General features: G+C 40.3%; 1 protein-coding gene across 5 annotated transcripts in view, besides 4 other annotated features; it reads left to right on the forward strand.

Annotated features, from left to right (window-relative positions):
- Window positions 4,596-4,655: an enhancer, noted in NCBI's record as "active region_20176". NCBI's record gives its function as "activates an Ori minimal core promoter by ATAC-STARR-seq in GM12878 lymphoblastoid cells {active_cell/tissue: GM12878}" and the evidence as "EXISTENCE:reporter gene assay evidence [ECO:0000049][PMID:35858748]".
- Window positions 6,792-7,161: an enhancer, noted in NCBI's record as "active region_20177". NCBI's record gives its function as "activates an Ori minimal core promoter by ATAC-STARR-seq in GM12878 lymphoblastoid cells {active_cell/tissue: GM12878}" and the evidence as "EXISTENCE:reporter gene assay evidence [ECO:0000049][PMID:35858748]".
- CEP97 (centrosomal protein 97) overlaps window positions 6,816-23,982 on the forward strand; it is a 45,949-nt gene continuing 28,782 nt past the window's right edge. For 2 of the 5 annotated variants that reach the window (NM_024548.4, NM_001303401.2), the window contains exons 1-6: window positions 6,816-6,921; window positions 8,796-8,938; window positions 9,585-9,743; window positions 11,038-11,139; window positions 14,042-14,155; window positions 14,690-14,856. In NM_024548.4, coding sequence (NP_078824.2) covers window positions 6,879-6,921; window positions 8,796-8,938; window positions 9,585-9,743; window positions 11,038-11,139; window positions 14,042-14,155; window positions 14,690-14,856 — 728 coding nt within the window. In that variant the 5' untranslated portion in view covers window positions 6,816-6,878. Of the gene's footprint in view, window positions 6,922-8,795; window positions 8,939-9,584; window positions 9,744-11,015; window positions 11,140-14,041; window positions 14,156-14,689; window positions 14,857-23,982 lie in introns of those variants that run through there. The other 3 variants (NM_001410784.1, NM_001410785.1, XM_047448917.1) reach the window with 2 other exon arrangements.
- Window positions 7,442-7,511: an enhancer, noted in NCBI's record as "active region_20178". NCBI's record gives its function as "activates an Ori minimal core promoter by ATAC-STARR-seq in GM12878 lymphoblastoid cells {active_cell/tissue: GM12878}" and the evidence as "EXISTENCE:reporter gene assay evidence [ECO:0000049][PMID:35858748]".
- Window positions 7,683-8,294: an enhancer, noted in NCBI's record as "NANOG-H3K27ac hESC enhancer chr3:101444325-101444936 (GRCh37/hg19 assembly coordinates)". NCBI's record gives its function as "activates a minimal SCP1, AML or CMV promoter by ChIP-STARR-seq in naive H9 embryonic stem cells {active_cell/tissue: H9 hESC(naive)}" and the evidence as "EXISTENCE:reporter gene assay evidence [ECO:0000049][PMID:30033119]".

A 23,982-nucleotide genomic window follows, 5' to 3' on the forward strand; every position in this document is an offset into this window, starting at 1 on the left:
ATTGATTAGATTATCACAATAGTGATATGGATTGGGAATTATTAATATTACCATTTTTCACAGGGCAGACCACAGAGTTTAAATTACAAGTCAAGATAATGCTGCTGGCAAATAACAATAATGGGATTCTTCCATGGTCTAGCTTTGGAGCCTGGTGCTCCTTCAGTATGCTAAACAGGCTCTGTTGTCTGGGGTCTCCATGGTTCAGACTTTGTTAAATTTTTTCACACTTTACTGATACATAATTTTTTTAAAAAACTGGAATCATAGTATACTTATGTATTGCAATTTGCTGGAAAATTAAAAAAGACAAAAAACCTTACACCTTGGTTATCTTCCCATTAACCAGGTGTGCTAGTTGGTACCCAGCAAAACAACATCACCATTCCCATTCTGACTCAAACATAACTGTTCACAAGCATTTCTTATATTGTGGTTTCTTTCCATTGTCATGGATTTTGGGCTCTAGTTTCTCTGGGGCCTTTTGTTAGCCATAGACACTGCAGTGATAATTTTTTGTCTGCTGCCATTATGAAAAACTGATTTTAAAAAATTATTATTATTGTTAGAGATAAAAATAATAATACCTCTACTTCTAGTACCATCCAGTTTTTCCTAATCATTTGCAGGACAAGAATGAAGATGAGATTTAATCTATAATTGGAGAAGCAGAAGTTGTAGCTTCATGATATGTGATTCAGGCCACATAGCCATATTCCTCTCAAGGCTGAAAATATTTTAAATTTCCAACAGCTTTAAGTTTAAATTATTTAATTTCACACTATGTTGCACAGGTCATAGTGCAAGGGCTATTCACAGGCATCATCATAGGGCTCTACAGCCTAAAACTCCTGGGCTAAGGTGTTCTTCTTGCTTCAGCCTCCAGAGGAGCTGGGACTATGGTTGCATGCCACTGCACCCGGCTTGCAAAACTGATTTTTATTTTATTTTCTTTTAAAATGTAGTATTTTGAGTAGGCAAAACATTCATATGATTTAAAAATATGTAAATATATTCAGTGAAAAATTTCTCCCCAGCTCTGTTCCTCAGTCCCTCTGTCCTGTTTCCATTTCACCCTTCCCTTAGGCAACTACAGTTAATAGTTTCTTGTGGCTCCTTCCAGAATTCTTTCTAAACACAAATATGAATATATACATGTCTATGAACATATTCATTAAGGCTGTAATTACGAAAATACAATGTGCATTTGGCCAGGTGTGGTGGCTCACACCTGTAATCCTAGCACTTTGAGAGGCTGAGGCAGGAGGATTGCTTGAGCCCAGGAGTTTGAGACCGGCCTGGGCAACATAGTGAGACCCCATGTCTGTTAAAAAGTTAAGAAATTTTTAAAAATGCAGCTAATAATATTTTTAAATCAGTCACTTGGAAAGTTTATTTCTTTTGTTTTTTGTTTGTTTTTGAGACGGAGTCTCGCTCTGTTACCCAGGCTGGAGTGCAGTGACGGGATCTCAGCTTACTGCAACCTGCCTCTCGGGTTCAAGTGATTCTCCTGCTTCAGCCTCCCGAGTAGCTGGGATTACAGGCGCCTACCACCATGCCGCTGATTTTTGTATTTTTCGTAGAGACAGGATTTCACCATGTTGGCCAGGCTAGTCTCAAACTTCTGACCTCAGGTGATCCATCCACCTCGGCCTTCCAAAGTGTTGGGATTACAGGCATGAGCCACTGCGCCTCGCCGAAAAGTTTAATATGTAGTTGAACATGGATTCAAAATTATGGCTGGGCGTGGGGTGGCTCATGCCTGTAATCCCAGCTACTCAAGAGGCTGAGGCTGGAGAATTGCTTGAACCCAGGAGCCAGAGGTTGCGGTGAGCTGAGATCACGCCACTGCACTGCAGTCTGGGTGACAGGGTGAGACCCTGTCTCAACAAAACAAAACAAAACAAAACAGAAACAAATGTTACCCAGGCATGGTGGTGGGCACCTGTAGGCAGAGGTTGCAGTAAGCTGAGATTGCGCCACTGCACTCCAGCCTGGGCTATGGAGCAAGACTCCATCTCAAAAAGCAAACAAACAAAACCAAAATTCTGTCTGTCCTTCTTTTTAGGTTGCTGGAAATTAACAAGATAAATATAAATGCAAATAAAAATATGAGACACCAGTTGAATTTGAATTTTGGATAAACAACACTTTTTTATATATAGCTATGTCCTAAATATTGCATGTAAGTATTGCATAAGATGTATATTGCAACATGAATACTTGGGACATACTTATACTAAAACATTATTCATTGTTATCTGAAATTCAAGTTTAACTGGGTGTCCTATATTGTTTCCAACAACTGTAACATAACCTCTTGGCATCTACTTGTAGGGATTTTGTGAAATTTAGAACCAATATATGTAAACTAGTTATCACAAAGCCTACCACATAGCAGGAGATAAATAATAATAATAATAACTGAGGAAAGTTAATCTCATTTGGGCCATCTGGATAACCTGTGAATATTGGCAATCTCTCTTTCCATGCCATAGGTTATAGATAAGGAAGCAGGACCGGAAGAGTCTACACATGAATATTAATCAAGAAAGGAGATATTTATAATTTTATGCACCTAAACCTTTGCATGAAGATTTTTTATTGTTAAACCAGGCATGGTGGCCGTCTATAATCCCAGCACTTTGGGAGGCCAAGGCAGGAGGATTGCGACATGGTGAGACCTCTGTCTACAAAAAAAACCAAAATTAGCCAGGTGTGGTGGTGTGCACCTGTAGTCTCAGCTACTCAGAAGGCTGAAGTGGGAGGATTGTTTAAGCCCAGGAGGTCGAGGCTGCAGTGAGCCAGGACTGTACCACTGCACTCGAGTCTGGGCAACAAACCAAGACCCTGTGTCAAAAAAAAAAAAAGGTTTTTTTATTGTTAAAATATTCGCATATTTTCCAAATCTTTACAGTGTCAAAATTCTTTACATTAGTAACTTCTTCATTTTAAAACTTGAATGAAAACTTCAAAGTTACATTTACTTCTTTCAAATATGATTTCAATCCTAATTAGAAAACCACCTTCATTTTCTCAAGGTAAATTGCACCATCCACAAATGTTCCAGTTTCTTGTCTACCTAGTCTCTTAACTTCGTGTTATCTAAACTTGTTTATAATACTCTCCTGAAACCGCTGTTGAAGGTTACCAGGCTCTATTACGACAATCTCCTTCCTGCCTTCTTCCTTTCAATTCTATTATTACTTTCAATTCATCCTTGTTATATGAGTTTAACCTTTCTACAACACAAGTATCATTATATCAATCCCTCACTCAAAAACACCAAATGAAAACGAGTAGGATGAACGGTGGGAGGTAGGGTGAAGCCACATTATGGTGGCCCTTGCAAGTTGAACTTAAAGTGAGAAGTTTTTGAGAGGGGAATAACATGCTAAAAGGCATTGTTTTACTTAGATCATGCCAGTAACTGTGGGCAGATGAATTAGAGATGGCAAAGATCGGGGTAATCAGCTGTCGTAGGGATTAAGTATACTGTGCTGATAGGAAAGTCTTTCTCATAGGGCCTGGGCCTGCCAGAGAAACATTACCTTACTGAGAGGTTCATAGTTTTAAGTAGTAGAATCCTAATTTGGTTTGAGCTTATAGAGTTTAACATATATACAAAATGAGGCAGTTTAAAGTGTAGCAATTTGATTTTAGGCGTAAAAGCTATTATTTGAAGCACAAAAGAATTTCTGTGCAGTAATTTTAAAGCGTTGCTGAGTCACTTGGGCATGTGAGACCTTGCCCAGGAACATCTGGCTACTTACTTTAAAAGCCGTGACTATACTTAGCTGCATAAAAAAAGTCCTTTGGTCCTTTCCTCTGGATTCCAGGGCAGATGAACCAGGCAAACAATGTTTCAGCTATTGCTGTAAACTTGCAGGAACCTCTGCTTCTTAAGTACCTTTTAAGCTTCCAGGACTCCCTATCAAGTAATTACCATGCTAAATTGTAAAGAACCATAAACCCTTTCTCCCAGATCCCTATGGCCTATTCCAGGGAATAAGGGTTAGCAGAGGCAGTATTCAGGCTTGCTTTGTTCTTCTTCTTTTGTTTTCTTTTCTCTTTCTTTCTTTTCTTTCTTTCCTTACTTTTTTTTTTTTTTGACAGAGTTCTGCTCGTGTTGCCCAGGCTGGAGTGCAGTGGCACAATCTCCGCTCACTGTAACCTCCGCCTCCTAGATTCAAGCGATTCTCCTGCCTCAGCCTCCCAAGTAGCTGGGATTACAGGCATGTGCAACTATGCCCAGCTAATTTTGTATTTTTAGTAGAGATGGGGTTTCGCCATGTTGGCCAGGCTGGTTTCAAACCCCTGACCTCAGGTGATCCTCCCGCCTCGGCCTCCCAAAGTGCTGGGATTACAGGCGTGAGCCACCGCGCCCGGCCTTACTTTGTTCTTACACATATAGTAAGATTGTGTTCTCTAGGTAAGGAGTTTCTTGGTTAAAAGGAAAAAAATCCTAGTCTTAATTGCCCCTTCAGAACTAGGAAATTTGTCTTTAGACCAAAGCAGCAGGAAACAAGAATCGAAAGGAGTTAAAACAAGTGTAGAGAGATAGGAGAACCCAGGAAAGGGGGAATGCTCAGAGAATCCAGTGCCTGGAAATCTAGAAGCATGAATTACTAGATTTTCCCAAGCAAAAATGATCAGACTTTGCAGATTGCTGTTTCAGAAAGAGGGGAGTTCAGAATAAAGGTTGCAAGAGGAAGTGGGAGAGCTGGTAGTAGAAAGCAGAAGTTTTTTGTATACTCTGTTTAGTTTCTCACTTCCTGTGAGCACAACTTCGTTACCACCTGCAGCCTGTGCTGTCTTTTCACCTTTTACTTTAGAACTAACTGTTCAGTCTACCCATCAAAAGATGGGTACATTTACTTCCTCCATCAAGTCTTCACTGAAGATTTCAGATTCTATTTCTTTCTCAATTCCCTGAAATATTAGTGAGCTCAGTCACAATCACACCGTTTAGCATATAATAGTTGCATCAAAAGAAGGCTCGGCGCCGTTGCTCACGCTTGTAATCCCAGCACTTTGCCGGGCTGAGGCAGAAGGATCACTTGAGCTCAGGAGTTCAAGGCCAGCCTGGGCAAAAAAAAATTGTCTCTAAAAAAAAAAAAAGAAAAAAGTGTGAGCCTGCTTTCTTCCAACTAGGCAATGTATTTCTTGAATTTGGAGACTATATAAAAATATATTTATATACATAATCTATATTTATATATAAATATATAACATATATAATATATAATATATAAATATATAACATATATAATATATAATATATAAATCTATAACATATATAATATATAATATATAACATATATAATATATAATATATAATATATATAACATATATAATATATAATATATAACATATATAACACATATAATATATAAATATATAACATATATAATATATAACATATAACATATATAATATATAAATATATAACATATATAATATATAATATATAAATATATAACATATATAATATATAATATATAAATATATAACATATATAATATATAATATATAAATATATAACATATATAATATATAATATATAAATATATAACATATATAATATATAAATGTATAACATATATAATATATAAATATATAACATATAACATATATATCTAAATATATAACATATATAATATATAATATCTAAATATATAACATATATAATATATAATATCTAAATATATGACATATATAATATATAATATCTAAATATATAACATATATAATATATAATATATAAATATATGACATATATAATATATCTAAATATATAACATATATAATATATAATATCTAAATATATAACATATATAATATATAATATCTAAATATATAACATATAATATATAATATCTAAATATATAACATATATAATATATAATTTATATATAATTATAATATATGCAATATCTATATAAAATATATATATTTTTGAGACATAGTTTCGCTCTTGTTGCCCAGGCTGGAGTGCAGTGGCATGATATCGGCTCACTGCAACCTCTGCCTCCCGGGTTCAAGCGATTCTCCTGCCTCAGCCTCCCGAGTACCTGGGATTACAGGCATGCGCCGCCACGCCAGGCTAATTTTTTTGTATTTTTACTACAGACGGGGTTTCTCCATGTTGGCCAGGCGGGTCTCGAATTCCCGACCTCAGGTGATCAGCCTGCGTTGACCTCCCAAAGTGCTGGGATTACAGACGTGAACCACTGCGCCCGGCCTGGAGATTATATTTTAAAGTTATTTTGAATACTCCCTGGAAAAGTTCTTGGTTCATACTTATACCCGTAAGTCAAAAGATTTGTCAAATATTCAAGAACAATCAAACAATCACTTAAAAATACTGTATAAAAGTTTCTATTTCGGCATACTTTACTTTTACTTAACTAAAATTTCAAATAAAATGTATCCACTTTTATGATCTCAACAAGATCGGTCATTCCTATAGCGGAGTTGAAAACTTTCAACTTATTCACAATTATCAAAAGAATGGAGCAGCCCCCACAGAGACTTCCAGCAATGAGTTGTAAAATGCAGTCTGCATTAAGTAGCTTCCTTACAATCATCCCGATGGTAAAAGTGTCAAATTTCGCAAACGCCTGGACAAGGAAGTGAAATGATCATCTAATAACGCAGTTGACTCATCTGTCAAATAAGCGAGTGGGCCAGGGTCCCTGAGCTCACTACCCTCAGATTCTAACTCCAGCTTCACATCATTAGGCGTAAGCAGCCAATTGGGCCGTCTGGGAGCCGTGCATCCTGGGAGTTATAGTTTCCGGCTCCCTCCTTCAGATTACAAGCTCCACAGAGCCGCGGGAGGACGGTTGCCTGGTATTATTAGCAAGCAGCAAATATGGCGGTGGCGCGCGTGGACGCGGCTTTGCCTCCCGGAGAAGGTAAGGCGATCCCTACCCCGAGTCCTAAGGTTTACTTCACGGAGCTGAATTAAATAGTGGAGAGCAGAAAACCTAGGTTTAGATGTGCAGTTCTGGACCAGTTCTTTTGATGCGGATCTGTGGTCGTCGCGGAGGCGGGCTACCCTCTGGGAGTTGTAGTTCACCTGCCGTTCCCAGCTCTCCGGCGTCGCGGTGAGGGCCGAGCGGGGGACTACAGCCCCCAGAAGCCTTCGCGCGGCCCGGCGCCCTGGCTCCCGCGCTCCCGATGCTGAGGAGGCGGTGGATTTCGGGCTGCGATGACCTTTCTTGACCATTTACTTTGAGTCATGGGTGCCTAAGCGAAATGTTTGGGATCTCCCTCTTTCGCTTCACACATCTCCCTCTCTTCTTGGTTCCTGGAACCATCAGGAAAACCTTCCCTCAGAGACCGCTGCCTAGTCTGGCTTTGAACCCTTCCTCGGAGGTGGCCAGTGGCCGTGATAAAATCTAAGGGATGATCCAGAGCCCGCAGTTCTGTACTCCTTGTTCTTGCACACGGGTCCTAGGATCGAGTTTGGTCGCTGCCCAGTAGAGCACAGGACTGTGTGGGTGCTTCTGTGGCCTGAAGATACCTACCTCTTTGGGGCGCCGGACGCGAGCTGCTTTTGTTTTGGTTACAGCTCCGAGGCTTGGCAGCAGTCAGTCCTCTAAATCGGGGACAGGGCCCAGGGGTCGAGGCCCGTCTTCATGGCTTAGACCAGGAGTGCATTTTCTGGGAGCTGTAAATTCTTGGGGGAAGAGTTGGTGGATGGTTCTCAGACCTCTCTGTCGACCCCTTGGAATTGTGTACAAAGGCTGTGCACTTTTCTGAGACAGCACACCCCTTTCATCAATTTTTCAGAGGGGCTCACGACTCCTCACATGCTAAGAGCCATTAGACAACGGGAAAACGTTGAAATCCTCCAGGAGAGCAATCTGGCATAATTATTTCCTGCAGTAGTCCTAATCTGGGTGTAAATTTGAAATTGGCCGTTTCTCTGGCCCCGCCCTCTTTGGAGATCGGCTTTTCTTAAACCACACCTCTCAAGCCCACCAGGGCTACTTAACTGTTAATAGCAGTTAACATTTACAGAGCACTTTGTATGACCCAGGCGATGTTCTCAGTCCTTTTTTTTTTTGTTTTTTTTTTTACATTATCTCATTTTCTCTGTAGAACTACATTTATAAGGCAGGTATTATCCCCACTTTACAGAGTAGAAAAGGGAGCCCAAAAGAAATCAATAATTTGCCTAATATACCACAATGGTTAATTGGTGGAGCCAGGGTTTGAACGTCTATGTTATACTAAAGTGCCTTATTGAGTGCCCGGTGGCAGGAACGGGGCTAAGTACTATTCATATGGTTTCTCTTTTAATTCTCATATCAAGCTAGGGAAATGGGTGTATTATCCTATTTTATGGGAGAATTAGTTGAACTATACTTTGATTTTCAAAATCACAGTTTGGGCACTTTAGGATATATTGGTAGTTAGGCTGTAAGCTGGTGGATTGCAGTCAAAAGTTTAGTAACATTTAAACAATAGTATCATTACTTAGGCACAACAAATGGAAGTAATCGTCCATATTTAAATGTGAAAATTTTCAAAGTATATCTTAGCAACTTGAGGAGAATATCACACGTCTAGTTTTAATTTGATATTTCTGAAGAAAAATGAGTAATTCAATCTGGTCATTTAGAACTCAAGATTGCTTTAATTTTACAATGTTGATATTTATTATGCTCTACTGTTCTTTAACTTGAAATGGTATAGAGATTTTATAATTCCAGCCCTATGCTTAGCTGTTGTACATGTTTTATTTTATTTGTGTTTTCTAACATTTCCGTTTCTTTTCAAGGATCAGTGGTCAATTGGTCAGGACAGGGACTACAGAAATTAGGTCCAAATTTACCCTGTGAAGCTGATATTCACACTTTGATTCTGGATAAAAATCAGATTATTAAATTGGAAAATCTGGAGAAATGCAAACGATTAATACAGGTAGGTATTGCAATCTGGGAAATGGTTACATAGGATCAATTTATTATTAAACAAAACAATAAAATAACCTGACAAAAAGTAACTGTGCAGCCCTAGCAAGCAGTCATTGTTGCCTTAAATTTTTACATGACAGTTTCTTCTGAAGATGAACATACATGTACTACATTGAGAGTAGATTAGAAAAAAAAAGCATTGTTAAGAAAAGGAAGCATTTTATTTTGCAAAATACTGTGTTACTAAGGTAACCTTTTACCTCATGATGGGGGTAAAGAGTTCATTCATTCCTTCATTCAAGAAATGGTTACTGCGTCCCTCTTATATGTCTGGCACTGTATTAAGTTTTGACTGAGAGTTTAACAGCACTATTCTTGTGGAACTTACATTCTCAAGTTGTTGCTGTGTTAAAAATGTCTTAGTAGTTAGAGGAGGTCTGATCGCTCAGCTTTATCTGTATTTTCTATTGCCCAGGAACAATAACAAAAAACTGATAGTCATACTGTAGAATATTTAGACAATATATGTGAAATGTACAAAAGGAGTTTGTTTGAGAGTGTTTGGCTGTCTAAATAAACCTTTTAAATCACTTTAATGTGAAATATTTTATATATGTTATTCCTAAAAATAACAATATGTTTCCTTTTTACAGTTATCAGTAGCTAATAATCGGCTGGTTCGGATGATGGGTGTGGCCAAGCTGACGTTGCTTCGTGTATTAAATTTGCCTCATAATAGCATTGGCTGTGTGGAAGGGCTAAAGGAACTAGTACATCTGGAATGGCTGAATTTGGCAGGAAATAATCTTAAGGTGAATGGTTTCTTTTTTGTTTACAAAACTATTCTGCGTAAAAAAAATTCAAGCAATGTAGAAATAAGTCAAATTAAAAAGTGAAAGTACCCACTCCCACTCTCCAGGGATAATCTCTGTTAAAATAAACTAAAAATAAATCTCATTTTGAAACATATAATATGACATAATATTCTTTTAAATTTGAACAAAGAATCTATATTGTACTTAGAAAAAAGTAGATCAAACCATAGAGTGTTTAGGAGGGAGACTATATCATGCTGAATTAAGCTTTAAGTAAATGTTTAATGCTATAAGGGAGAATATACAGTTTTAAAAGTTAGGAGATCTGAATTCTAGTCCTACTTGCACTACTTAGTAACTGTGTAATTTTGGGTAAATTAATACATATTTCTGCGTCTTATTTTTTGGCATGCTAGCTGAGAGGACTAGATTACCAATAGCTGCCTTTTATTGAGCCATTAATGTATCTGAGCTACTGTTCTAAACATTTATCTGTATTAACTTATTCAATCTCATGGTAGCCTGCGAAGTAGATATAGACATTATGCGTGTTATAAAGGTGAAGGAACTAAAGCACAGAAAAGTAACTTGCTCAAGGTCACACAGCTAGGAAGTTGCAGGGCCAGAATGTAAATCCAGGCTGTTTGGTTTTAATCTAAACTTGTAAACTCTATTCTATACCACCAACTGTCATATATTATTACTATGGTTTCTTTTGTTTTTTTTTTTTTTTTGATGGAGTTTTGCTCTTATTGTCCAGGCTGGAGTGCAGTGGCACGATCTTGGCTCACTGCAACCTCTGCCTCCTGGGTTTAAGCAATTCTCCTGCCTCAGCCTCAAGAGTAACTGGGATTACAGGCGCCTGCCCACCATGCCTGGCTAATTTTTAGTATTTTTTTAGTAGAGACAGGGTTTCGCCATGTTGGCCAGGCTGGTCTCGAACTCCTGACCTCAGGCTGTCCACCCACCTCGGCCTCCCAAAGTGCTGGGATTACAGGTGTGAGCCATAGCGCCTGGCCATTACTATGTTTTTTTTCAAGCTGTAAAGATCTTGGATGGTATGAACTACTTGGTAGCCCTCTACTCATAGAGAGATAATGAAAGTGTACGTTTACAACCTGACAATCTACTAAATTCTGTTAGTACTGCCCCTTTTCTCTTGCTAAGTTCTTCTACTCTGCTTCTAATAATAAGAGGAGGGAAGACACTCTTTCAGCTGCAAAGAACTAGGGAATAATTTTATTTTTTGATTTTGTTTTCATTAAATAGTGTGATGCTTTTCTTGTGATAGGCCATGGAACAGATCAATAGCTGCACAGCTCTACAGCATCTCGATTTATCAGACAATAATATATCCCAGATAGGTGATCTATCTAAATTGGTATCCCTGAAAGTAAGTATGTTTTCTTTGTCATTTGTGAAGTTTTATAGCAAAATACCAAGAGAAAGTAATCTTACTGACCTAAAATTAGCCTGCTTTGTATGAGCAGATTGCTTTCTTTATGATAAGAATTATGGGCTGGGCATGGTGGGTCATGCCTGTAATCCCAGCACTTTGAGAGGCTGAGGCGAGTGGATGGCTTGAGCTCAGAAGTTCAAGACTAGCCTGGGCAACATGGCAAAGCCCCATCTCTACTAAAAATACCAAAAATTAGTGGGGCATAGTGGTGCGAGCCTGTAGTCCCAGCTACTCAGCTAAAGCAGGATTGGTTGAACCCAGGAGGTGGAGGTTGTGGTGACCCGAGATTGGGTCACTGCACTCTAGCCTGGGCAATAGAGTGAGACTCAGTCTCAAAAAAAAAAAAAGGAATTATGTTAGAATACCAGAAATTAAGTTTGAAACTTTTTGTTGTTAGTTATATAACTCATTTATTTGATGTGAAACTGGTCATTGTAGTTAAGGTTAATTTTATTTACCATTCTCTGAACATGATGGAATTCCCTGTATGCCCAATCAACCAATATTAGTAACTTCAGTTATTATATAGTACATAATCTTTGGTGAGGTTGAGATTAATCATTCCTGAATTTGAGTCTGTCTTTATTTTTTTTTGAGACAGAGTCTTGCTCTGTCACCCAGGCTAGAGTGTAGTAGTACAATCTCACTCGACCTCCCAGGCTCAAGTGATCCTCTCACCTTAGCCTCCCAAGTAGCTAGGACCATAGGCATGTGTACATCACCACACCCAGCTAATTTTTTGAGTGTTTGTAGAGATGAGATCTTTTTCTTTTCTTTTTTTTTTTTAGATAGAGTTCTGCTCTGTCACCCAAGCAGTGGTGCAATCTTGGCTCACTGCAACCCAAGCAGTGGTTGCAGTGGTGCAATCTTGGCTCACTGCAACCTCTGCCTCCTGTGTTCAAGTGATACTTCTGCCTCAGCGTCCCGCGTAGCTGGGATTATAGGCGCCCACCACCACACCTGGCTAATTTTTTGTATTTTTAGTAGAGACAGGATTTCACCACGTTGGCCAGGCTGATTTTGAACTCCTGACCTCACATGATCCTCCTGCCTTGGCCTCGCAAAGTGTTGGGATTACAAGCGTGAGCCACTGCACCTGGCCAGAGATGAGATCTTACTATGTTGTCTAGACTGGTCTCAAACTCCTGGACTCTAGCAGTCCTCCTGCCTCAGTCTCTCAAAGTGCTAGGATTACAGGCATGAGCCACCGAACTGGCCGAGTCTGTTTTTTTGTTTTGTTTTGTTTTGTTTTGTTTTGTTTTGTTTTGTTTTGTTTTGTTGAGACGGAGTTTTGCTCTGTTGCCCAGGCTGGAGTGCAGTGGCGCAATCTCGGCTCACTGCAACCTCTGCCTCCCAGGTTCAAGCGATTCTCCTGCCTCAGCCTCCTGAGTAGCTGGGACTACAGGTGCATGCCACCACGCCCAGCTAATTTTTGTATTTTTAGTAGAGATGGCATTTCATCATGTTGGCCAGGCTGGTCTCGAACTCCTGACCTTGTGATCCACCCGCCTCGGCCTCCCAAAGTGTTGGGATTACAGGCATGAGCCACTGCGCTGGGTCCCAAGTCTGGATTTTTTTTTTTTTTTTTGACATTCAGAATTGCTGTTTTTAAAGTAATAGGTATTAGCTAATTGTCAAAATTAATTTCACTTAGAAAAAAACATGTAGCATGTAGCACTTTTTATGGAGGGGAATGTATCATGCAGTCAAATAAGTAACAGTTGAAATCACAGTCTTGAAAAACATGTAGAACATTTTAAATATTGTTGCCTCATTGGATATTATTACCATCAGATATGTTCATTAAGCCCTAGAAGCAGTATCTTAGTTCACTTTTTCCCAGATCTTTAGCAGAAATCATTTTTAGCAATAATTATTCTAAACATTTTGATGTAGCCAGATGTTGTCCTAATAGATGCTAAGAGAATTCAAATGAACCAAAGATGATTGAATTTTTTTTTTTTTTTTTGCTGGAATAGAAGCCTATTTATCTGATCAGAATCCTGGGTGTTCAGTTTTGGGTTTATTCTTGGTTGTTGCTGACTTAATGTGAGTCAGCTTTATCTGCAAGTAACACATTCTACCTCCCTTTATTTTTTAGTTACCTAGAGAATACAGTTGCAATTATGGATGTAGGTTATCACTCTCTTTTTTGGAAAATTTGCTTTATATGTGGTTGTTTTAATGACTTTTTTTTTTTTTTTTTTTTAATTTGAGACATCAGAGTCTTGCTGTCACCCAGGCTCGAGTGCAGTGGTGCAGTCATGGCTTACTATAGCCTCGACCTCCTGGGCTCAAGTGATCCCCCTACCTCAGCCTCCCCAGTAGCTGGAAATACAGGTGCACCTCATCATGCCTGGCTAATTTTTTGATTTTTAGTAGAGACCAGGTCTCACTATGTTGCCCAGGCCGGTCTCAAACTCCTGGGCTCAAGCAATCTTCCCTCCTTGGCCTCCCAAAATGCTGGGATTACAGGCATGAGCCACCACACATGGCCTCTATTTTGATATTTTAAAAGAAAATGAAAAAGTGTGTTAGAAATTGCTCAGTGTCTCATAAGTTAAATCTCACAGCATGCCTAGTTGCTATGCCAAGCATGTGTTTTTGGACAAGTCTTTAAAATATCATGAGCTTAGGATGTTGGTATGAAAACAGAGAGTTGGACCAGAAGATCATCAAGGACCCTTGTAGCATTAACAGTCTTTGATTTGTGTGTGATGAGAAATATAATAAAGTAGATTCCTTTATTCTTATATGTACCATTTTGGTGTTGTCACAATAGGCCAATTTATTTGTAATCTTTTCATTTGTAATTCATACTGTTTTTACTTTCAAGACCCTGCTTTTACATGGAAACATCATCACCTCTCTTAGAATGGCACCTGCTTACCTACCCAGAAGTCTTGCTATACTTTCTTTGGCAGAAAATGAAATCCGAGACTTAAATGAGGTAAAATTTGAGGGTATTTTGTGAGATTCAGGAAGCTGGAAATCCTAGGAAAGACACAGGAGAGGGTTGTGAGCTTACTTTTAGACTGTGAGCATCTTGGAAGAAACTGCCATTCATATGAAATGCTTGGCTCTAGATCTTTCCACTTTTCCTTAGTGTCAGTGGGTCATTAAGGTCTAATTTCCTTTGTAAAGCTGTAATTATCATTCCACTGGGAGGCGATTGGTGGTAGAGGGACATCTACGTTATAAGGGTTTATAAGACTCCCTGTCCACCTTTCCTGGCTGCTGTGATGTTTTCAAAATAGGGTTATTTCTGCTAGGAAACAGTGCTGATATTTGCCAGGGGATTTTGTGCAGCAGGGACAGATGGCTATATTGTTGAAACTTTGGAAGTCAATGGACACTTGTCACTTTTCAGAACAAGAGGGAAATTATCACATTCTCAAATGCTGCCAAAGATATGTAATCAGTGGAAATTTTGTGCTTGACACTGAATAGTCCTTTTGTTCAACAAAGATATCTTTTGTTCCAGATCTCTTTTTTGGCATCCTTAACTGAATTGGAACAGTTGTCGATTATGAACAATCCTTGTGTGATGGCAACACCATCCATCCCAGGATTTGACTATCGGCCGTACATCGTCAGCTGGTGCCTAAACCTCAGAGTCCTAGATGGATATGTGATTTCTCAGAAGGAAAGGTAAACATGTGCTCTTTAACATCACAAATGTTACTGAAAAGACCATTTCTAGTTTACTACAGATTAATAGAGTATTTCTTAAAATGTGCATTTAGATAACAAGAGTATTAGTGCAGTCATGTAGCAGACTATATGCTGGTCATTTAGGATTTTCTGTCATTTCTAAAAAAGGATAAGAAATAAATATTGGCCTGGTGCAGTGGCTCATGCCTGTAATCCTTGCACTTTGGAAAGCCGAGGCAGGAGGATTGCTTGAGCCCAGGAGTTTGAGACCAGCCTGGGCAATATAGGGAGACCACATCTCAAAAAAAAAAAAAAATTAGCTGGGTGTGGTGGTACACACCTGTAGTCCTAGCTACTTAGGAAGCTGAGGTGGGAGGATTGCTTGAGCCCAGGAATTTAAGGTTACAGTGAGCTATGGTTGTGTCATTGCACTCTACCTTGGGTGACAGAGTGAGACCCTGTCTCTGAAAAAAAAAGAAGAAATCTCGGCCCCAGAGATTGGAGCTAGTAGTCTTAGTGCCCTACATACAACAATTTGATTTCTAAAAGTTCTTTTGTTAATCAGTTGTTTGGAGCTTGGAACACTTTTGCTTAGAAACCATCATGTTATAGATCCTGTGTAGGATCTCAGATCAGTCTCACAAAAGCTTGTAATATATTAATCTATCACATATATAAGGGCCGTATTTTTTATTCATTTTATTTTCTATTTTATCATCCAGCTCCAAATGCCATGTAAGGGCAGTATTAGTAGTATCTTAGAATTCTCCAAATACTCATTATAATGATAACTCTGGGAAAATGCAGAGTTTTAATTTGGAACTAGTAGCAGATGTGGTGATTGGTCCTCCTCTTCTTTTTTTTTTATTTTTTTATTTTTTATTTTTTTTTGAGACGGAGTCTCGCTCTGTCGCCCAGACTGGAGTGCAGTGGCGGGATCTCGGCTCACTGCAAGCTCCGCCTCCCGGGTTCACGCCATTCTCCTGCCTCAGCCTCCCGAGTAGCTGGGACTACAGGCGCCCGCCACTACGCCCGGCTAATTTTTTGTATTTTTAGTAGAGACGGGGTTTCACCGTTTTAGCCGGTATGGTCTCGATCTCCTGACCTCGTGATCCACCCGCCTCGGCCTCCCAAAGTGCTGGGATTACAGGCGTGAGCCACCGCGCCCAGCCTTTTTATTTTTTTTGAGACTGAGTTTCACTCTTGTTGCCCAGGCTGGAGTGCAATGGCGCGATCTCTGCTCATCACAACCTCCACCTCCTGGGTTCAAGCGATTCTTCTGCCTCAGCCTCCCAAGTAGCTGGAATTATAGGCATGTGCCACCACACCCAGCTAATTTTGTATTTTTAGTGGAGGCAGGGTTTTTCCATGTTGTTTAGGCTGGTCTCAAACTCCTGACCTCAGGTGATGCGCCCGCCTCGGCCTCCCAAAGTGTTGGGATTACAGGCATGAGCCACTGCACCTGGCCAGGTTCTCCCCTTCTTATACCTGTGAAGCAGCAGAAGCAAGAATTCCCCCACCTGTAAATCATTAATAGTTTCTGTGGCTTGGAGCTGGGATCCCTGCAGAATGGAGTCTTCTGGACCCTGATACCTGATCAGTGGAATGAGAGCTTTAGGGGAGGTAAGGAACTAGGATATGGGAAGGAGGGAGTGGAATTGGGATAGTGAGAGTTGAGATGACTTTATTCTGTCTACTATGCTTCATTTAACTTTTTTCTCTCAGTACATACACACATGCATTATGGACTCAACACATACATTATCCCTCGCCTTTTTTTGTTCTTCTCTACTACAGACAGTAGTTACTTCAGGAGTTTCCTGATGGGAGGACGGGTGGTAGATTACAGACAGCGTCTCCCTTCTCTGTCTCTCTGCTGTTTTGTATAGTTTCTGAGTAAAGCACAGGGCCGTGAGGAATGGCAGCCAAGAGCTAGATAGTGGTGGTGCTGGTGTAGGGTGAGGGACATATGTCAGGTCTAGTTTGCCTACAGGAAAGGGTGGCTTTTCTTTTTCCTGCTGTGAATGTTGCTCTGAGAATAAACCTTATTTTGTTTCAAACTGTGACTAGTTCTAGATTTGGAATATGGGTTTACTTGGATAATCCTCTGTACAGTTGTTGACTTCTTCTGTGGGAGTAGGACTGGCAACATTTTCATGTCTGAGAGGCAGCATGGTGATGTGGGCAGAGATAAAGGTTTGGTGTAAAGAGAGACCCACAAAGAGAGATGAGACCTGCTTACGATAGACAGGGGAAGGCTTCACTTTTTTCTCTGCTATCTATTAGCTGTGTGGCCTTGTCAAGTTCCTTAGGGCTTTTCTGAGGCTAAGTTTCCTCATCTGTAAAATGTGAATAGCGGTACTACCTTGCTTTCATGGATGGTAGGATTAAGGATGATGTATAGAACATAGGACTGGTCATATAGTAGGTGCTTAATAAATGATATTATATAAGGATAGAGACTAAAGGTTGAAGAGTTTGTTGAAACTAAAGAGAGTGTCAAGACAGAAAATATTTGTTGATTGGATAAATAATGATAAAAAAGTCTGTGTTTCTATACTGTGGAAATGGTTTTATTCCAAGTGACTTTAAGGTGAATTTGAATATTTTTTGAGCTTTCTCCATAATGCTTTGCAAACATTTAATTTCAGAGACTTCAGGAGATAGGGAAGAGTGGGCTCCCACTTGGGGTAGCCTCTCTCTCTGGGGTTGTCCTGCACTAAAGAAGTGTGTGGGGGGGTGGCTGGCAAGATGGCTGAATAGCAACAGCTCTGGTCTGCAGCTCCCAGTGAGATTAGCACAGAAGGCGGGTGATTTCTACATTTCCACCTGAGGTACGTGGCTCATCTCACTGGGACTAGTTAGACAGTGGGTGCAGCCCACAGAGGGTGAGCAGAAGCAGGGTGTGGCGTTGCCTCACCCGGGAAGTGCAAGGGGTCAGGGAACTCCCTCCCCTAGCCTGGGGAAGCCGTGAGGGACTGTGCTGGGAGGAACAGTGTACTCTGGCCCAGAAACTACGCTTTTCCCATGGTCTTCACAACCCCACACACCAGGAGATTCCCTCCAGTGCCTACGCCACCAGGGCCCTGGGTTTCAAGCACAAAAGTGGGTGGCCGTTGGGCAGACACCAAGCTAGCTGTAGGAGTTTTTTTCATATCCCAGTGGCGCCTGGAACACCAGTGAGACAGAACCGTTCACTCCTCTGGAAAGGGGGCTGAAGCCAGCAAGCCAAGTGGTCTAGCGCAGAGGATCCCAGCCCCACAGAGCCCAGCAAGCTAAGATACACAGGGTTGAAATTCTTGCTGCCAGTACAGCAGTCTGAAGTCGACCTGGGATGCTCGAGCTTGTCGGGGGAGGGGCATCTGCCTTTACCGAGGTGCGAATAGGTGGTTTTCCCCTCACAGTGTAAACAAAATCTCCCGCAAGTTCAAACTGGGCAGAGCCCACTGCAGCTCAGCAAAGCTGCTGTAGCCGGACTGCTTCTCTAGATTCCTCCTCTCTGGGCAGGACATCTCTGAAAGAAAGGCAGCAGCCCCAGTCAGGGGGCTTATAGATAAAACTCCGCATCTCCCAGGGACAGAGCACCTGGGGGAAGGGGCAGCTGTAGGTGCAGCTTCAGCAGGCTTAAATGTTCCTGCCTCCCGGCTCTGTAAGAGAGCGATGGATCTCCCAACACAGCCCTTGAGCTCTGCTAAGGGACAGACTGTCTCCTCAAGTGGGTCCCTGATCCCCGTGTCTCCTGACTGGGAGACATCTCCCAGCAACGGTTGACAGACACCTCATATAGGAGAACTCCGGCTGGCATTTGGTGAGTGCCCCTCTAGGATGAAGCTTCCAGAGGAAGGAACAGGCAGCAATCTTTGCTGTTCTGCAGCCTCTGCTGTTGATAGCCAGGAAAACAGGTAGTGGATGTCCAGCAAACTCCAGCAGACCTGCAGCAGAGGGGCATGACTGTTAGAAGGAAAACTAACAAACAGAAAGGAATAGCATCAACATCAACAAAAAGGACATCCACACAGAAACCCCATCTGAAGGTCACCAACATCAAAGACCAATAGTAGATAAATCCACGAAGATGAGGAAAAACCAGTGCAAAAAGGCTGAAAATTCCAAAAACCAGAGTGCTTCTTCTCCCGCAAAGGATCACAACTGCTTGCCAGCAAAAGAACAAAACTGGACAGAGAATGAGTTTCACAAATTGACAGAAGTAGGCTTCAGAATAATAACAAACTCCGTTGAGCTAAAGGAGCATATTCTAACCCAATGCAAGGAAGCTAAGAACCTTGAACAAAGGTTAGAGGAATTGCTAACTAGAATAACCAGTTTAGAGAGAACATAAATGACCTGATGGAGCTGCAAAACACAGCACGAGAACTTTGTGAAGCATACACAAGTATCAATAGTCGATTTGATCAAAAGGAAGCAAGGATATCAGAGATTGAAGATCAACTTAATGAAATAAACTGTGAAGACAAGATTGGAGAAAAAAGAATGAAAAGGAATGAAGAAAGCCTCCAAGAAATATGGGATTATGTGAAAAGACCAAACTTAACGTTTTATTGGTGTACCTGAAAGTGACAGGGAGAATGGAACCAAGTTAGGAAACACTCTTCAGGATATTATCCAGGAGAACGTCCCCAACCTAGCAAGACAGGCCAACATTCAAATTCAGGAAATAAAGAGAACACCACAAAGATACTCCTCGAGAAGAGCAACCCCAAGACACATAATTGCCAGATTCGCCAAAGTTGAAATGAAGGAAAAAATGTTAAGGGCAACCAGTGAGTAAAGTCAAGTTACAAAGGGAAGCCCATCAGACTTAACAGCAGGTCTCTCTGCAGAAACCCCACAAGCCAGAAGAGAGTGGGGGCCGATATTCAACATTCTTAAAGAGAAGAATTTTCAACCCAGAATTTCATATCCAGCCAAACTAAGCTTCATAAGTGAAGGAGAAATAAAATCCTTTACACACAAGCAAAGGCTGAGAGATTTTGTTACCACCAGGCCTGCCTTACAAGAACCACTGAAGGAAGCACTAAACATGGAAAGGAAAAACCAGTACTAGCCACTGCAAAAACATACCAAATTGTAAAGATCATCAACACTACGAAGAAACTGCATCAACTAACGAGTGAAATAACCAGCTAGCATCAAAATGACAGGATCAAATTCACACATAACAATATTAACCTTAAATGTAAATGGGCTATTAGCCCAATTAAAAGACATAGACTGGCAAATTGGATAAAGAATCAAGAACCATTGGTGTGCTGCACTCAGGAGATGCATCTCACATGTAAAGACACACATAGATTCAAAGGGATGGAGGAATATTTACCAAACAAATGGAAAGCAAAAAAAAAAAAAAAAAAAAAAAGCAGGGGTTACAATCATAGTCTCTGATAAAACAGACTTTAAACCAACATATATCAAAAAGACAAAGAAGGGCATTACATAATGGTAAAGGGATCAATGGAACAAGAAGAGCTAACTATCCTAAATATATTTGCACCCAATACAGGAGCACCCAGATTCATAAAGCAAGTTCTTGGAGACTTACAAAGAGACTTAGACTCCCACACAATAATAGTGGGAGACTTTAACACCCCACTGTCAAAATTAGATCAACAAGACAGAAAATTAACAAGGGTATTTAGGACTTGACGTCAGCTCTGGACCAAGCAGACCTAATAGATATCTACAGAACTCTCCACACCAAATCAACAGAATATACATTCTTTTCAACACCACATCACACTTATTCTAAAATTGACCACATAATTGGAAATAAAACACTCCTGAGCAAATGTAAAAGAACAGAAATTATAACAGTCTCTCAGACCACAGTGCAATCAAATTAGAACTCAAGATTAAGAAACTTAAAACCGCCCAACTACACGGAAACTGAACAACCTCCTCCTGAATAACTACTGGGTACATAACGAAATTACAGCAGAAATTAAGTTTTTTGAAACCAATGAGAACAAAGACACAACATCCCAGAATCTCTGGTACACATTTAAAGCAGTGTGTAGAGGGAAATTTATAGCACCAAAAGCCCACAGGAGAAAGGAGGAAAGATCTAAAATTAACACCGTAACATAACAATTAAAAGAACTAGAGAAGGAAGAACAAACAAATTCAAAGCTAGCAGAAAACAAGAAATAACAAATATCAGAGCAGAACTGAAGGAGATAGAGACACAAAAAACCCTTCAAAAAATCAATGAATTCAGGAGCTGGTTTTTTGAAAAGATCAACAAAATAGACTGCTAACCAGACTAATAAGAAAAGAGAGAAGAATCAAATAGACACAATAAAAAATGATAAAGAGCATATCACCGTTGATCCCATAGAAATACAAACTACCATCAGAGAATAAACACCTCTACACAAATAAACTAGAAATCTAGAAGAAATCAATACATTTCTGGACACATACACCCACCCAAGACTAAACCAGGAAGAAGTCAGAGCCCTGAATAGATCAATAACAAGTTCTGATATTGAGGCAGTAGTTAATAGCCTACCAGCCAAAAGAAGCCCAGGACCAGACGGATTCACAGCTGAATTCTGCCAGAGGTACAAAGAGGAGCTGGTACTATTCCTTCTGAAACTATTCCAAACAAAAGAAAAAGAGGGACTCCTCCCTAACTCATTTATGAGGTCAGCAACATCCTGATACCAAAACCTGGCAGAGACACACACACAAAAAGGAAAATTTCAGGCCAGTATCCCTGATGAACATTAATGCAAAAGTCCTCAATAAAATACTGGCTAACCGAATCCAGCAGCACATCAAAAAGCTTATCCACCACGATCAAATCGGCTTCATCCCTGGGATGCAAGGCTGGTTCATCATATGCAAATCAATAAACATAATCCATCACATAAACAGAACCAATGATAAAAACCACATGATTATCTCAATAGATGCAGAAAAGGCCTTCAATAAAATTCAACACCCCTGGCGGGGCGCAGTGGCTCACGACTGTAATCCCAGCACTTTGGGAGGCCGAGGTGGGTGGATCATGAGGTCAGACGTTAAAGACCGGCCTGGCCAAAATGGTAAAACCCCGTCTCTACTAAAAATATAAAAATTAGCCAGAGGTGGTGGTGGGCACTTGTAATCCCAGTTACTCAGGAGGCTGAGGCAGAGAATTGCTTGAACCCGGGAGGCGTAGTTTGCAGTGAGCTGAGATCACACCACTGCACTCCAACCTGGGTGACAGAGCAAGACACCATCTAAAAAAAAAAAAAATCAGCACCCCTTCATGCTAAAAACTCTCAATAAACTAGGTATTGATGGAACATATCTCAAAATAATAAGAGCTATTTATGACAAACCCACAGCCAATATCATACTGAATGGGCAAAAGCTGGAAGCATTCCCTTTGAAAACTGGCACAAGACAGGGATGCCCTCTCTTACCACTCCTATTCAACATAGTATTGGAAGTTTTGGCCAAGGCAATCAGGCAAGAGAAAGAAATAAAGGGTATTCAGATAGGAAGAGAGGAAGTCAAATTGTCTCTGTTTGCAGATGACATGATTGTATATTTGGAAAACCCCATTGTTCCAGCCCAAAATCTCCTTAAGCTGATAAGCAACTTCAGCAAAGTCTCAGGATACAAAATCAATGTGCAAAAATCACAAGCATTCCTATACAACATAATAGAGAGCCTAATCATGAGTGAACTTCCATTCACAATTGCTGCAAAGAGACTAAAATACCTAGGAATACAACTTACAAGGGATGTAAAGGACCTCTTCAAGGAGAACTACAAACCAGTGCTCAAGGAAATAAGAGAGGACACAAACAAATGGAAAAACATTCCATGCTCATGCATAGGAAGAATCAATATTGTGAAAATGGCCATACTGCCCAAAGTAATGTATAGATTCAGTGCTATCCTCATCAAGCTACCATTGACTTTCTTTTTTTTTTTTTGAGACGGAGTTTTGCTCTTGTTGCCCAGGCTGGAGTGCAATGGCATGATCTCGGCTCACTACAACCTCCACCTCGTGGGTTCAAGCGATTCTCCTGCCTCAGCCTCCCTAGTAGCTGGGATTACAGGCATGCGCCACCACGCCTGGCTAATTTTGTATTTTTAGTAGAGATGGGGTTTCTCCATGTTGGTCAGACTGGTCTTGAACTCCCTACCTCAGGTGATCCACCCGCCTCGGCCTCCCAAAGTGTTGGGATTACAGGCGTGAGCCAGCGCACCCGGTCCCATTGACTTTCTTCACAGAATTAGAAAAAAATACTTGAAATTGCATATGGAACCAAGAAAGAGCCTGTATAGCCAAGACAATCCTAAGCAAAAAGAACAAAGCTGGAAGTATCACGCTACCTGACTTCAAACTACACTACAAGGCTACAGTAACCAAAACAGTGTAGTACTGGTACCAAAACAGTTATATAGACAAATGGAACAGAACAGACGCCTCAGAAATAACACCACACATCTACAACCCTCTGATCTTTGACAAACCTGCAAGCAATGGGGAAAGGATTCCTTATTTAATAAATGGTGTTGGGAAAACTGGCTAGCCATATGCAGAAAACTGAAATTGGACCCCTTCCATACACCTTATACAAAAATTAACTCAAGATGGATTAAAGACTTAAATGTAAGACCTAAAACTGTAAAAACCCTGAAAGAAAACCAAGACAATTCCATTCAGGACATAGGCATGGGCAAAGACTTCATGACTAAAACATCAAAAGCAATGGCAACAAAAGCCAAAATTGACACATAGGATCTAATTAAACTAAAGAGCTTCTGCACAGCAAAAGAAACTATCATCAAAGTGAACAGGCAACCTACAGAATGGGAGAAAATTTTTGCAATCTATCCATCTGTCAAAGGACCAATATCCAGAATCTACAAAGAACTTAAACAAATTTAAAAGAAAAAAACCCATCAAAAAGTGGGCAAAGGATATGAACAGATATTTCTCAAAAGAAGACATTTATGCGGCCAACAATCATATGAAAAAAAGCTCATCATCACTGGTCATTAGAGAAATGCAAATCAAAACCACAATGAGATACCATCTCATGCCAGTTAGAATGGTGATCATTAAAAAGTCAGGAAACAGGCTGGGCATGGTGGCTCACG

This window comes from Homo sapiens, chromosome 3 (genome assembly GCF_000001405.40).
Source record: "Homo sapiens chromosome 3, GRCh38.p14 Primary Assembly".
NCBI lineage: Eukaryota > Metazoa > Chordata > Mammalia > Primates > Hominidae > Homo > Homo sapiens.